A 16,824-nucleotide genomic window follows, 5' to 3' on the forward strand; every position below is an offset into this window, starting at 1 on the left:
GACCCCAGCCCTTTTCATCACCTTTTTCTCAACTTGCCTCCAGCCCTTGTGGAAGAGGTGATGAAGCCATTCCCTTGAATGGTTGGAGCACCTGCTATAGACAGTTCCAGGTGCTGTCTCTGTCCAAGCTCCTAACTTTTCATCTCATAGAACATTGGGGCATTTTGGATCTAGAAGGAAACTGTAGATTACAAGCTGGTTCAGCCTCTTATTAAACACCTGAAGAAGTAATTAGGTGTCCATGACTTGCAAAATATCATACTGTAGCGAGGGTTATTAACCCACTAAAATGTGGTTTTCTAGATGTGGTCTAAGCACGTATTTCACTCCACCATGTAAATTCAACTCCATCTCTAGTCTTTCCTTTTGTTTAAACGTTTTTATATTTCTTTCACCCATTTGGTTCATTTTCAGTTCTTTTGACCCTCAGTACACCTCCACATTGTCTCTTACAACTAAAGCAAATTTCCAGACCCACTTTTTTTTTTTTTTTTTTTTAAGACAGAGTATCACTCTGTTGCCCAGGCTGGAGTGGACTGGTGTGATCTCGGCTCACTGCAACCTCCGCCCCCTGGGTTCAAGCAATGTTTATCCCCAGCCTCCCAAGTAGCTGGGATTACAGGCATGCACCACCATACCCAGCTAAAGTTTGTATGTTTAGTAGAGACAGGATTTCACCATGTTGGCCAGGCTGGCCTTCTGGGATTACAGGCATGAGCCACAGCACCTGGCCTGGCTCACTTTCAATATGTCCTTTCTACCAATAAGCATTGTCAAAATTCATTCCCCTCCCTACCGGCAAAACCCTTTGTGAGCCTCCCTTTCCTTTTATGATGATATAGCTGAGGGTGATACCTGAGGAACAGAAAAAAGTTATGACTTCTTGGAATGCTTTTCCTTTTGCATATCTGGAAAATAGCAAATTCCTACATATGCTTCAATTCCCTACTCAATTAATCTCCTCTTAGTTTTCCCTGCCATGCCCTTTGCTCTTCAGACCTTTTTCTTTCCTTTGTGCTATATTTTCACCATGTTGGCCTCTTCTGCTAGAGTATGAACTCATCAAGCAAGAGATCTCATCTCACTCTTTTTTAGCACCCCTGTAGCCCAGTATGGTGTCTGGCATAGAATAAATGCTTGATAAATGCTTATAGAAATAAAATAAAATCAATATCAACCATCTCTCCTAAAGAACTCTTTATTTTTCCCTATATTTATTTTCTTCTTTCTTTCTCTTTTTTTTTTTTTTTTTTTTTTTTGACACAGAGTCTCACTCTGTCACTCATGCTGGAGTGCAAGGCATAATCTAGGCTCACTGCAACCTTTGCCTTACCTCAAGTGATTCTCCTGCCTCAACCTCCTGAGTAGCTGGGACTACAGGGGCCCACCACCACACCTGGCTAATTTTTGTATTTTTAGAAGAGACGGGGTCTCACCATGTTGGCCAGGATGGTCTCGAACTCCTGACCTCAAGCCATCCGCCCATTTTGGCCTCCCAAAGTGCTGGGATTACAGGTGTGAGCCGCCATGCCCAGCCTGTATATTTATTTTCTTATCTATTTTATTTATATTTTTCTCTAAGCACTGAATATTTTCTGCCTTAAATTTCACATGCCACCTAAACCTGGTTAAAATTAAAAGCATTTATAATTATGAAATATCATCAAAGAGTGGGCTATTCTCCATAATGAAATTTTCAGTTTTCAGCAATATTTCCTTATTGTAATTAATTGTTGATCATCTTTATAAAGAGCATTACAGACTTTCCTGCTTTCTTTAACAGAGCACAGCATTGTAACATATTGTCTTCCTGATGAGTTAGGCAGTTTTATGCACACCAATTATTGTACTCTGATATCATATAATGAAGCCCATGGGGGCTATTAAGGCAAGTAGAGTTGTTGGCCTCAACACCAAAAGACTCTAAGATTTTTTGTGTGTTTTTAATGCTTGGGTCTTGTTTCGGAGCTTTATGCTTCCTCATTGAAAATTTAATTGTCACTCTGTTAGCGTCATAAAGTGAGCCTTGCCTCTCCTTATTCATATTGTGCTTTCAATAAGTCATTGTTGAATTTGATGAATTGGTTAAAAAGCAGGGGCTTTTTGACAGCTACTCAGAGCCTGTTCCTGCTCTCCAACTAAAAGGGACATTATCGATGTAAGAACAGCCAGTCGGCAAAAACCCGGGGAAATATCATATAAGTATTGGCTGCGGGGCTCATAAGATAAAAACAATTAGGGAGGAGTATAAGAAAACAAGCACATTCTATAGGATTCCAAGGGGAAAAATCAGGCAGAACTAGCAAATGAAATGCACAAATGTTTTCACTTACTACGTTCCTACCTCTTCTTCATTCCCCATTTCTCATACCACGGCACATATCACTAAGTCATCTTATCTTTCTTTCCCAGTTTCCTTACAATCCTGTTGGGTACCAGTCTCCAGAAAGCCACTATCAATCAGCTAACGATGGCATTAAAGAGTCAACTATAGGATCTTCCAGAACAAGGACTACACTTCAGGAAGATGACCTTCAACATAGGAGGGAAAAATGTTTCATAGTCAATCTAGTAAGAAGTTCTGCCTTCAAAGCAAAAGAACTACCATTTATTAGATGTTTGCCATGTGCCAGGCAATGTCACAACCCTTTTATATCTCATTTAAGTTCATAATCATCCTGTGACATAAGCAACACTATGTCCCCCAGTTTACAGATGAAGAAACTAAGGCTCAGAGAAGACATGTGACTTCCAAAGGGCACTGAGCTAGGAAGTGGTGACACTCGGATTCAAACCTTGGATCTGGCCTACTTTAAAGTCCATGGTCTCAAATCTTGTGCTATACCTGTTTTACAGGGAGGTGAGTCTCCAGTCACTGGAGCTCAAACAGACTGAACACCTCTTAGCAGGGATATAGAAGGGATTTAATTATCATATGAAGGTAAACCAAGGACCATTTAAATCTTTGCAATTCTGACAGCCTTATCTTTCCATTCATTCCTTGAAAATAGATTTACTTATATGCAAAGTCTCATGAATCTCAAATGTCAGTCAACCATTTCAGAGGTTTCTGTGTGTTTATGGTTTTAGGAAAGTATGCAGGAAGACATTATTAAAGACATCTCTCTAACAGAAGCCATTATTTACTGAATTCTTTTACCAGAGAAATTTGAGTTAAAAGAGGTAACAAACTGAGAGCAAGATAGTCTCTCAGGGTTGGCAGGGTTGTGGTAGAAATTTACAGGTCGGTTGGGAAGGACCTTCGAGTTATTAAGTGGTTGTCCAGCTTCTATTTCTCTCCTTTATGAGACAAATCCTTCTTCAAGGGCTATTATGGCTGGGTTTCATGTTGGGCCTTGAGGATACAATAGAGGTCCAGAAAGGACTTACCCTGCCCTAGAAAGCTTTAGTCTTCTGGAAGCAGCTTATTCCATACCAGGACAGCTCCAAGGATGGGGAAGTTCTCTTCCAGGAAAGTTATAACCCTTCCCTCTGAAGAGCCCCAGAATATATCTACCATGTCATATACTTGAAGCCATCTATCATATCTCCTTCAGGCCTTATTTTTGGCATCTAAGCACCCCGTGTGTCAATCATCTCTCGTGGCAAGATCTGTCCGGCTTGCTATCCAGGACGCCCTGTCTTGGACACTCTTCCTGGTTCTTGTTAACAAACGAATTTAGGACCACCTTATCCCCATTATGTTTTAACCAATAAAGCACACCCTACTCCTGCCTCTCCCTCACTCAATTTCCTAGGTTTTTATTGACCCAGGAAAAGAACAGGCAAGATAGCAGGCACTATCTTCAAAATGAGAGCTACTATCTATTAAGTACGTACCATTTGCAAGGAACTGTTAAGAATTTTCCTTGCATTAACTCACTTATTCTCAATTATTTTTTCCACTTTAAACATAAAGAAACTGAGGTTCTGAGGTTCTGGGTCAAGATCTTTATCCTTGCACACATGCCATCAATCACAGACCACATCTTCTTTGTGCCAACATTTGGAAAAAGGAAAACTTCCATGATAACTGTTAAAGGGAGCAGTGCCTTGGACTTGCTGCCACACACCCTTCCCCTTCCCAAACCTCCACTTACCCAGGCACAAATGGGGCCTATTCTCTAACTTGTTTGTTTCACAAATACTGAGTGGGTATTATGGAGCAAGTATCATTCTAGGAATGGAAGGGTGTGTCTAGTGATGAACAGGACAGACTAGATTTCTTCTCTAAGGACCTACACAAGGTAGATAATAAATAGGTAAACAAATACATATATACTGATGCTTTGGGTTAGTGATATGTGCTCTAGAGCAGGGGTGCCCAAACCCCGGGCTGTGCACTGGTACTGGTCTGTGGCCTGTTAGGAACCAGGTCACACAGCAGCAGGTGAACAGTGGGAGAGTGAGCATAACCACCTGAGCTCTGCCTCCTGTCAGATCAGCATTGGCGTTAGATTCTCATAGGATTGTGAACCCTATTGTGAAGTGCCCATGTGGGGGATCTAGATTGCGCACTCCATATGCGAATCTAATGCCTAGTGATCTGAGATGCAACAGTTTCACCCCAAAAACTTCCCCCTCCCCACCTACGTCTGTGGAAAAATTATCTTCCATGAAACCAGTCCCTGGTGCCGAACAAGTTGGGGACCACTGCTCTAGAGAAAAAGAAAGCAGAGTAAGGAGAGAGAGAATAAGAATTGATGTTTTAGAATGTACCTGGAGATTTCCTTTTTATTTGGGTATGGTGAAGCCAAAAGACCAGGAGAGGACTGCCATTGAAAAGACAGTTTGGTACTCGCAGTTCCTTAGAGGAGGGGCGCAACACACCACAGTGCCATATGGGGCAATAGCAGGTGATCAGGAGGTGAAGGAGTGAGGAAAGCATGGGCAAAGGCTTTTAGTGTGGTTTTTACTTGAAATAAGTGAGACAGGATCAGTAGCTGAGCAGCTTTAGGATCAGACAGTTTGAATAATTTTGGCAGGCTCTGGGCTATAGGGGAGGTGTCCAGCTGTCTGATACCTGGCCCCAGGGTGATTTAGGGCAGGCGGATAGTCCTCCCAGACTGCTGGAGCCTGAGGAAAGGAGGTGGGTAGGGGTATGGACTCTGGAGTGGTTGGTTTCCATATCAAAGGCATAGTTAAAGCCAAGCTAGTTTGCTATCTTGGGAAAGATAGTCACTCCTTGGGTTTGCAAGGCCCCAAGATACTGAAGCATCTTAAAATATAGAAAATAAAAAGCAGAATGAATACAGTAGGAGACTAAGGAAGGCACAGGACTCTGTAGACTGGTCAGGGAAGAAATGGAAACTAAGCAAAGGTCTGCAGAGGTGAGGCCTGGGGAGGAGACTTAGACAAAGAGAACAGCAAACCACAGAACCCCCCCGGGAGCAAGCATGCTGCATGAAGAGCAGCAAGAAGGCCAATGTGGGAAAAACAGAAACAACAGGAGAGAGGGAGCTGGAGCCAGACTGCACAGGGCTCTGTAGGCCACGCTAGAGAGCTAGAGCTGTATTCTGAAGCCACTGAAGGAAATTTTAGTTTGTTTGCACATTTACTTCTTATTTTAAAAAACTTAACGCCTGTAATCCCAGCACTTCAGGAGGCCGAGGCGGGCGGATCACGAGGTCAGAAGATCGAGACCATCCCGGCTAACACGGTGAAACCCCATCTCTACTAAAAACACAAAAAATTAACCGGGCATGGTGGTGGGCACCTGTAGTCCCAGCTACTCGGGAGGCTGAGGCAGGAGAATGGCATGAACCCAGGAGGTGGAGCTTGCAGTGAGCCGAGATTGTGCCACTGCACTCCAGCCTGGGCGACAGAGAGAGACTCCTCTCAAAAAAAAAAAACAAAACCTTAAACATCTACAAAACTAGAAAGACTAGTAAAACAAATCCCCATATTCTTATTACCCAACAAATGTCAACTCAAATGACCTAACAGTATCTAAACCCAAGTCCCCAAACCTTGGGTTATTTAGAAACAAATTCTAGACATCATGTTTTATGTTTAAATACTTCAGCTTGTATCTCTAAAATATAAGAAGGCTTTTTTTAAGAAAGCATGACCATAATACTATAATCATACCTTAAAAATAAATAAGTAAAACTAATTATTTAATATCACCATTAGTCAGTGCCCCCTATATGCACACAATTTTTATTTAAGTAGGATCCAACTCTGCATCTCTGAAGCCTCTGTTAATCTATAGAGTTCTCCTTCCCACCTCCCTGACTGGGACGAACCATTTCAATTTGCCTGGGACTGGGTGGGTTTCAAGATTCCATACTTACAGTGCTACAACCAGGAAAGTCTTGGAAAACCAGGTACGAGCTGGCTCTACTCTTTTCCCCACCCCTTGCCAAATTATTTGTCCTGCAGCACTTCCCACAGTCTGGATTTTGCTAAGTACATTCCCATTGTGTCATTTCTTATGTACCTTTATCCCTTGTATATCCTCAAAATTGGTTATTAGGTCTAGAAGCTAGATCACATTCAGGTTTAATATTCTCACACACAAAAAGCAACCTTCTTGGGTCATAGTATGTGTACATACACACACTATTTCAAGTTGTCTCTTTTCATGTGTGATCTTGGCAGCCATTGGGATTGTTACCTAGACATGTTTAAGTAGTAGTTTTCTAATTCTACACCTGCTTCTTTCTTTATTAACAGAAATACTTACATAAAGAGAAACTTTTTCTCTCTTGGTTACCCTGAGACATAGTCCTTAGAAGGTTCTGAGAGGTGAATGGCAAACAATGTCTCTAGATGTTTTTCTAAACATCACTCTGACTCTTGTGAGAACAGCAGCTATTAGGGAGTTACAAATAGGATCAAGAGAATGGTAGAGAGGCTGTGTTCTAGAAGAGAGACAAGAATGTCTTGAACTAGGGTGGGAGCAGTGGAGTTGAGAAAACATGGTCAGATATGGGATGGAGAGTCAATGCTGAGAGGTTAGGTATGGGGTGCTAAGGAAAGAGAAGAGATAAGGATGACCCCAAGGTTCTGAGTAACTGAGTAGGTGAGGGTGACATTTGCTGGGATGGGGAGAATGTGAGAAGAAACAGGTTTGGGCTTAGAAGAGATAGCATATAATAAAGTGAAACAAAATTGCCTGAGTTGTAAGAAAAGATGTGCAACTATTCTAGAGGATCTTGATCTAAAACTCAAGAGATGCCCAGACCACTGAAAATATGAGTCTTTTTTTTATTTTTAAATTTGTGTTCCCAGTATCAAACAAGTTAACTCTTCTAAATACTTGGAGGATACTCTTTTTCCAGCCTATCACCAAGGCCATTTGTCAGAGCTGTGGCTTCCGGAACTCATGAATGCATCATGAGGGTGAGACATCAAGTCCAAATTTTTACAAACACCACATTCACACTCTGTGTAAAGCACTCAAAGCTGTTACCACAAATCAATGTCATCTAGAGACTAAACTAACATTTGATGACAGCCAAGAGCAGCCACTCTTCTCCCTGTTGATGTGATTTCCTTTCCGGGTCCACCTTAGAAGGTTGTGCAGTTATGACTCTAGGAAACACCATTCCCATTGTGGTCTGTGATAGTCCTTCCCATTGAAGTCTCACCTCTCCAGGAAAATCCTGAAGGAGAAAGTGAAAGGCAACTCATCTAGGTGTAGGTGGTGGCTGCTGTCTACACAGCCAGAGAAGCCCTGAGCAACTCCTCTTCCTGAAAAATGACTCTCCTGAAACATCTTACTTTAATTATTCTGTTGTGGGCATCCTTTTTAAACACAAAATGCCATTACTCCTATATTCATAAACTGAAAAAATGTCTTCATCTAGAGCTCCTCTAAAGGTGATCTTCCCTTCCCACTTTTGTTTGATGTCATGTGACTTTTTGAATTTTACCATCTCTGGTAGGGGTGGGCCAGCAGATATCACTGGGAGAAGGAGAAAAAGCAAACACACTGCTCCATGCTTCTCAGCCAGAAAATATGATACACTGTTTGTTACTATGGAGAGTGAAGGAGTGATGTGGGTGAGTGCATTCATAGATTTATTTGTAAGCTGATTTATACTGATGAGCCTGCAAGCGCCCCACCATGGAATGAGAGGCAGTCTTCGGGAGAAGAAGTGGTACTGAGCTATAAAATATCACAAGGGAAAGATAATAGCAGTTCAGAGGCAGATGACATTTTACTGTCAATGAAGCCTTTTCCCTTCATCTCTTGAATCCTGCAGCTACTTTATGAGTTAGGCAGGGCAGGGAGTGTGAACCTCATTTCAGAAATGAGAAAGTTTGAAGAGGAAAAGTGATTTCCTCACAATCCCACTGCTTATAAGTCACAGAGTGAAGTGGCATATCCATGTCTTCTGACCCCAGGGCCTACAGGTGGGAGTGAGCTTCTTGCTTAACCAATAGTGAGTGGTGGACTTCAGCTTCAGTGGGGTAGATACTTCAGACATTAGTCTTTCTCAATATCCCTCTTCAAAAGTGGTGGTGTGAGCAACCATTACTACCAGTGAAATATGCCAATGTAAGCCCAAAGCTATTGCCTTGTATTCCCTGGGAACATCTTTTCTGGAAGGCTGACATCAATCAGAAATGGCCCTTTGAAAATGTGGTAAATATACATCATGGAATACTACTCAGCCATAGAAAGAAACAAAATAATGTCTTTTGCAGCAACTTGGATAGAGCTGAAGACCATTGTTTTAAGTGAAGTAATTCAGTAATGGAAAACCAAATATCATATGTTCTCACTTAAAGTCCGTGCTGAGTTATGAGAATGCAAAGGCATAAGAGTGATACAATGGAGTTTGGGGACTTGGGGAAACTTGAGAGGGTGGTGAGGGATAAAAGACGACATATTGGGTAAAGTGTGCACTGCTCAGATAATGGATGCACTAAAATCTCATAAATCACCACTAAAGAATTTATCCAGGTAACTAAAACCTACCTGTACCCCAAAACCTATTCAAATTTTTAAAAAATAAATAGCCCCTTTTATTTTCTTATAAAATATACCATTTGTTTTCTTCCAATTTTTAGAAGTATGACAAGGTCATTGTTTTTACAAATGGCGAATATAAAAATGCTCCCTTATTTCAGCGATAAAATTCATTAACATTGTGGTATAAGTCATCTAAAATGATATGGTACAGATGTTTCTACAACTAACTACATACATTGGGATCATACCGCTATTTCATTTTATAGCCTGCTTTTTTACTTTATATATCATAAGCATATTTCAAAACACTAAACATCTGATTATTTTTTACTTCTTCAGAGTAAGGTTTCTTTACTATGTGAAAGCACCATCATATATTCAACCATTTCCTTACTGACAGACCTGTCCAATTTCAGTTGTTTGCTTTTCTTTTTACCTTTTATCAGAAAAGAATGGATGTGTAAGTGCCTCTTATGTGTCATGGGCCTGACTTGACTCATTCATCTGACCCATCACTGAGTCCTGCTGCCTGAGCTATTCCCTTCCAGCACCAATCTCTTTCCCCCCACACCTACCATCAGTGCCCAAGTCCAGGCCCTCCCACCTCTCTCTCGGACCAGTGCAACAGCATCTTCCCCAGTTCACCTAAAGTCTATCTGGGCCAACTCCCATCCATTTGCCAACACCAGCCAGAGTCATCTTTCAAAAACTTCAACTGGACCATGTCACTCCCTTGCTTTTAAGCCATTCGGTGGTCTCCTATAACCTAAGGATAATGTCCAGTCTTCATGACATGGAATATGAGGCCCTTGATGTTGGAGCCCCACGAACATGTTTTTAACCTCATCCCCTGCCACTCTTGTCCTCCAACTTTACACAGCATAGGTAGTAAATGGTGGCCTCCCCGCTCTAGTAGCACTGTGCATTTTCTAGCTGTCCTACCTCTTTCCATGCTGTTCTGCTGCCCAGAAGAATGCCTTCATCCACCTCATTTCTTCATCACAATAGCTCTTATTAATTGTTAAAACTCATCAGGAGCTTCTCCGTGGAGGACATCTCCCCTCAACTCTTTGCCTACCCCCAAGGCTATATTTGAAGCTCATCTTTGGTGTTCCCACAGGCCCCTGAGCATACCTCCATCAACGCCTTTCACATTGTGTTGAAATGACATACACACCTGCATCCTGTGCTGGACTATAAGAAAGCCTAAGGCAGAGACCAACTTCTTTTTTATTTATTTATTTATTTATTTTTTCTTTTGAGACCGAGTCTTGCACTGTCGCCCAGGCTGGAGTCAGTGGTGCAATCTCGGCTCACTGCAACCTCCACCTCACGGCTGCAAGCGATTCTCCTGCCTCAGCCTCTGGAGTAGCTGAGATTACAGGCATCCACCACCACACCTGGCTAATTTTTTATACTTTTAGTAGAGATGGGGCTTCACTATGTTGGCCAGGCTGGTCTCGAACGCCTGACCTTGTGATCCACCTGCCTCAGCCTCCCAAAGTGTTGGATTTACAGGCGTGAGCCACCACACCTGGCCGAGATCAACTCCTTTTTTTATCTCAATACCCTCAGCCCTTTATACAACACTTGGCACATCACAGATGCTGAAGAAATTGTTTAGTGAACTCAACTAATTCCAAGTAGATAAGGTTCCTTGTATGTGTAATCTCAAACTTGCCCTAAATTGCTTCTGAGTTTCATTTCTTGAGATTTACTTAACCTGATCACCTACTTTCAATCATTTACTGATTGTTTATGTTCTGTGCTTTTTTTATATATATGAACTCATTTAATCTTCCCACAAACTGGCTGAAGAAGACAGCTGATATTTTTGCTTCCTTCTAGCAGTCACTCTTCCTTGTCTCATAACTTTGCTCCAACTTTTCTCTGCAGAATCATCTATCCCCTACTCTAGGACCAAGTGATTTTGGTTGGGGGAAAGATGCTGACACACCCAGCAGTGGGCTGGGCATATGACCAAAACTAAAGCCAAAGAGTGCATCACATTCTCCCGGCGACAATAATTGCTTCAAGACGGGCACATGACCAAATGAGCCAATGAGATGCAAAGAGACTTGTGCTTGGGCTGCTAAGACAGATGCACATTCTCTTCCCCAAAGAAAATGTACTGCCGGTACTGCTACAGCCATCTTACCCCACCTGAGCCTCAGATTGAGGCCAGGAGAGAAGTAGGTAGGGGTAAGAGGGGAAGAGACAGCAAGTTGTGATGATGTTGGATAACAAACTGGGCTTAAAGCCCCTTCTATAACCTGGACTTGTCATTTACATGAGCAAATCAACTTCCTTTCTTTTTTTTCTTTAGCTGAAGTCAGTTGGAATTAGGTTTTCTGTAAACTGGAAACCAAAAGAGTCCTATCCATATGCCTATAAAGGAGGTATTATTGGAAATAATTATTGTAAATTAAAGCTTCAAAACATCACTTTAGGCAAATTATAGCTAATAAACAGCATAGCTAAGATTTGATTTTGAGATTTCCTAACTTTATACTTTGCTGTTTTCCATCATGAGATTGAAAACCTTGCAAAATGTGGATAAGGGAAAACACACATGCACGCGCACACACACACACACACACACACACACACACACACACACACTATAAATTACCAGGTGATTTTAAATGACCTCTGTGGGTCAATCTCCTCCTCTCTTCAGTCAAGACATACTATTACACTAGACAGTGTTAAAAGTCTGCCTCACACAATGCAGAAAAGTATTCCTAAAAATGTGAGTACACATTACTTTTTACTAGTCAAATTTTATTGCACAAGGTTATTTTTTCTTTAAAGAGACTCTATGGTGATCCTTTGGCAAAGTGAAGAATCTTAAATTTGAAAAGCAACGTAGTGCCCTCATTTAAATCTGAACATTTGTTGATCAGGATTGCTTCAAAATAAGTCTGGCTTACAATTTAAAGGAGAGGGAATCCTAGCAGGGTGCAGGTCATGTGTAAAAGGCTACTTTTTGTTTCAAATGTTTACATGAATAGGTTATCCAAAACGTCCAAAATGCTTCCAAAGATCTCATAAGGTAGAGATCCTCAGCTGTGTCCGGAAAACTTGGTAAAACCTTCTGTTAGAACAATTGATTTGTCTAGCAGGCATTCATTTTAAAAAAAAATTATGTGTGGCACCTACTAAATTCTGGGAACTGTGCTAGGGAGTTGAGATATGATATTAAGCAAAAACAAGAAAGCCTGCTGTCTTGGAGTTTATAGTATCAAAAAACGACTCCTGTGTACTGTGCTAGAAACTGGGTAGACAGAGGTAAATAAAGCTGATATCATCCCTGCCCTCACAGAGCATGACCAAGTATAATATCTCTAAATTTTGTATTGTTGCACTCCATTATTAGAAAAACTTTTGAGCACAATCCCTAATAAATATATATTTTCTTGTTCATAAATTTTATACTTGTGCTACTTTCAGATATATATAGTATAAAGTATACACAGCACACAAACACACACACAACTAGACAGTAAAAAGAAACCAAAATTTAACAAAAAGAGTTCAAATATTTTCCTCTACACCCCTTTAGAGACCACTGGTCTACTGAGCTAAGTTTCCAATGTCCAAGCATTGGCCTAAACTAATCCTTTCAGACAGAGTCAAGGATTAACCTACACACTAGGGCAAGGGCCTGAGAATATCTTATTCCTGTCTGGAAGCCACCTATCAATGCCTGGCCGCCATCACTAAACCACTCTTGAATTCAGGGCAACCACGATCAAACCAGCTGTTTGACTGATTGAGTTTTCACTTTTCAAGCATTTGCTTTGGCATTGGGTAGACACACTGCTTGAGTGAATATTTGTCACAAAATATCTTACTTATGCACCAAGAATGGCTGGTTCATTGACCAATGCTGGAAAACCCAGGGATGAAGAAAAATCTCCCGTGCATTCTACTCAGAAACACATTACCTGGATAAGGCTGGCCGCATACTCCAACCAGGCCTTCAATTATGAAGCATCAGTATTCTTGTCATCCTCTATTTCCAAGGCTAAATTGTGCAGCCCATGAACTACAAAAAAAAAAAGTGGTGTTTCCTTAAACCAAATTTCTACTCATATTCCTGCAAATTAATTCAACCAACGTTTATCAGTGCCTACTATGAACAAGATACAACCAATAGGAATTTATTTTTGCCCAATGACCTGAACTAACATATATATTTATATGGATTCATACACACACATATGGGTTAAGAGACTCAGTTACATACAGAGCTCCTACTTTAAGAAAATTATTTCACAAAAAATGATTGCTAAGTGGCGTTTACTTGCCCCATCCCCAGGCATCATTGTGAGCGTACATTAGCATCCAACAGCATGCTTCATTCCCGCATGCGCTAATGAAAAATGATTGCTTGTCTTTCTAAAACGAAACCAATTATTCTTGTTTTTGTTGAATGGGAATTTAGGTTGTGTTTAGTGACAGAATAACTAAATCAGTCTTATTTGGAATCCAAGCATCAACGTGGATCCTGTTGCTTTGCTGACAGGAAATGTAACCCAGATAGCTTATTTGCTAAAACGGCTATTTTGGCTTTGAAACAAACAAACAAAAAACTCCACTCTTGTGACTTCGGAGCGAATGAACCATGTGCCCTCACCTCCAACTTTCTCTTTCCTTGGCATCTGCCCTAACACGGTACAGTAATGAGGCAACATTTTACATAACCCGCAGTATCTGCTCCGTGCTGGTATACAAACGCCTACCTGATTGACTATCACCATTTTAGAACTGCGGCCTAATCACATTTTTTCAGGCTGTATGAACAAAATAATGTTTCTTTAATTACGTGAACTCTTTATTTTTTATATTTTAATGACACTTTAGAAGATAGAATAGCCGCTTCTCTTAGATGAGGTGCTATTAATCAGGAGTGACAGCTAGTTATTTGATACATTTTTTTAAATCCCACTTGTATTTTCACACAAGTAATCTGGGACTTGATTTCTCAGTCCTGGGTCTGTTATGTCACTTGTGTTTCTGCCCATAATGAGCAAAATAATTGAACCAAATTAGCACTATCTATAATTCAGTGCTAGCTTAAAGGCATTATTTTATTTTTTAAGAAAATGAAATGAAAAGGTATTCTCCCCTAGGATAAATGTCAATAAATAAAGGTCTGTGAGATCTACATTCTTTACCGTGTCTCAGTCCAACATACCGTTTCCCCTGGGGCTGCCAGACTATATACAAGGCATATCCATTTCTTCATTGGGGTGGGTTTTGTACTGGGGAGTTGCTCAGGCACATGTGGAGGCTCTTTTACCTGGATCAGGATGCTGAAGATGATTTAGTACATCTTAGGTGTGATTTGGGGATCAGAGTATTAGCACCGGGTGCAGTCTAGGCATGTGTTTGTTATAAGTGCTGTAATTGTTCATTCGTTTGACTCTCTGGCGTACTAACCTGAGAGGTCCCAGAGGACTGGCATGGATTGCCTATGCTAGGAATGTGTAGCCCCAGCACCAAGCATAGAGTTAGAAGTTCTCACCCAGAATTCACACTACTATTAAATATTTTTGTGGAATACTAAGTATAAATATTGCTCAGTCCTCTCCTTTTGCAGAGAAAAATGATGAGGCCCAGAGAAGACTTGACCCCAAAGCAAATATACTCGAATCCTATTCTCAATTCCCAGGCTAGTCTTCCATCCACCACACTGGCCTTATCTGTAAGCTCAGGGTCCAAACATTTGTTAATAATAAGAACTGTAGAGCAGTGCTTCTCAAATTCTAATATGCACGTGAATCTCCTATGGGGCTTGTTAAAATGCAGATTGTGATTTAGTAGGTCTGGGTTGGGGTCTGGGAATCTGCACGTCTAACAAGCTTGAGGGAATGCCAGGGATGCTGGTCCATGGACCACACTTTGAGTAGCCAGGACAGAGAACAGAGTGATTGATCCCTCTGGCTCTGGAGTCAGAATGATAGCATTCAAATCCTGACTCGGCTACTTTCTGCATATTGCCACATGCCAAGCACAACACTATGGAGTCTATAGGGACCAGAGAAAGAAAGCAGGCAGTAAGGTGTGCAGGGAGCTGGGGCAGACAGGAGCATACATGCCCTATCTAAGGCAGTAGCTGCTGTTTGTTTTTATTTTATTATTACCTCATGAGAAGATCCCATGAGGATCCTGCCAGATTTTCTGAATATTCAAAAGAAAATCTTTACATCATGGATTTTATGTTTGGGGAAGGAAGAGATAAAGATAGAGAGATAAACAGACAATTATCTTTTTTTTTTTTTTTTTTTTTTTGAGATGGAGTCTCACTCTGTGGCCCAGGTTGGAGCGTTGGAGTGCAGTGGCATGATCTTGGCTCACTGCAACCTCCACCTCCCTGGTTCAAGCGATTCTCCTGCCTCAGCCTCCCAAGTAGCTGGGATTACAGGCACCCACCACAACGCCCAGCTAATTTTGTATTTGTAGAGACAGGGTTTCGCCATGTTGGCCAGGCTGGTCTCAAACTCCTGATCTCAGATGATCCGCCCACTTCAGCCTCCCAAAGTGCTGGGATTACAGGCATGGGCCACCACGCCTGGCCTGTTATCTCATAGTTTTTAAAAGTTGGAAACTACTGAAAATATTTTAAAACAACTTGTAGGTGGGCCAGGCACGGTGCCTCAGGCCTGTATTCCCAGTAGTTTGGGAGGCCAAGGTGGATGGATCACTTGAGGCCAGGAATTCGAGACTAGCCTGGCCAACATGGTGAAACCCGTCTCTACTAAAAATACAAAAATTAGCCAGGCGTGGTAGTGCACACCTACAGTTCCAGCTACTCAGGAGGCTGAGGCATGACAATCACTTGAGCCCGAGAGGCAGAGGTTGCAGTGAGCCGAGATCACAGCGCTGCACTCCAGCTTGGGCGAGAGGGCGAGACTCTGTCTCAAAAAAAAAAAAAAAAACACCTTGTAGGCAACCTATGGACTGGGTTATGCCTCCAGTTTGCTTCTTCTTTACAAATGTTTTCATTTAATCTCCAAAACAACCCGTGAGTTAGGTGTTATTGTGATTATCTTTTTACCATAAAGGAAATTGGCTTAGAACCATCTCATAAATCACTCTCTGTATATAGAGCTAGGTAGAGATGGAACTAGAACTTAAGCCAGGAATGACTGATTCCAAAGCCCACCCACTACACAGCACTGGCGACTATCACCAAGTCTGGCCCAAATCTCCCAAGTCTTTCAAATGTCCCCTGTCCGTGGCTACCCTACATCCAACAAAAGGGAGGAAGTGCCAATAGCCATTGAAACAAGTTTCCCTCTAGTCAAATCCAACTGGTCCAGAAGCTCAAACTTATGACAGGCACCTCCTAAGCACTGTGCTGTCTCATTCCTGAAACAGGTTCTGCCCTGATACTGTTTGAGGGTAATGAAATGAGATGACTGAAAGCACCAGCTTTGGGCTCAAGTCAGCCCAGTTTGAATCTTGGCTCTGAACACCAAAGGAGATCTGATCCATAATGTATCCTTCTTGGTAGCTAATCAAGGAGAAATCTAATGGGACTTGGGCAATGCCAAAGGTCACAAAATAGCCATTTCCAGTTTCATAAACACCTAGACTTTGGAGACAAGAACCACCTGGTTTGGGACTTGGTTGGCATCTGGCTGAGCCACCTCAGTTATATTGCTTAACCTATCAGAGGTTCAATTTCTCCAATTGAGAATGAGAATAATAACCCCTATCTCCTACATTTTCTTTTGGGTTTTGCAGGAATTAAGCGAGATGTATGTAAAGTGCCTGACACATAGTAGGCACTTTATAAATTTAAGTTCCTTAAGCCCCATTTTTATTCCTACAACAAGTCTGCCAACTTTGTCCCAGAATGCTACTGGGTAAAAGTGAGCAGAGTA

The 16,824-nt window shown here is 41.6% G+C and overlaps 1 long non-coding RNA gene across 3 annotated transcripts in view; it reads right to left on the reverse strand.

Moving 5' to 3' along the window:
- LINC02625 (long intergenic non-protein coding RNA 2625) overlaps positions 1-16,824 on the reverse strand; it is an 89,240-nt gene that overhangs the window by 71,879 nt on the left and 537 nt on the right. For 2 of the 3 annotated variants that reach the window (XR_001747461.2, XR_001747458.2), the window contains exon 2: positions 12,877-12,977. This is a non-coding gene — a long non-coding RNA (long intergenic non-protein coding RNA 2625). Of the gene's footprint in view, positions 1-12,876; positions 12,978-14,129; positions 14,332-16,824 lie in introns of those variants that run through there. The other variant, XR_001747460.2, reaches the window with a different exon arrangement.

The sequence above is a fragment of the Homo sapiens genome, chromosome 10, assembly GCF_000001405.40.
Source record: "Homo sapiens chromosome 10, GRCh38.p14 Primary Assembly".
In the NCBI taxonomy this organism is placed as follows: Eukaryota; Metazoa; Chordata; class Mammalia; order Primates; family Hominidae; genus Homo; species Homo sapiens.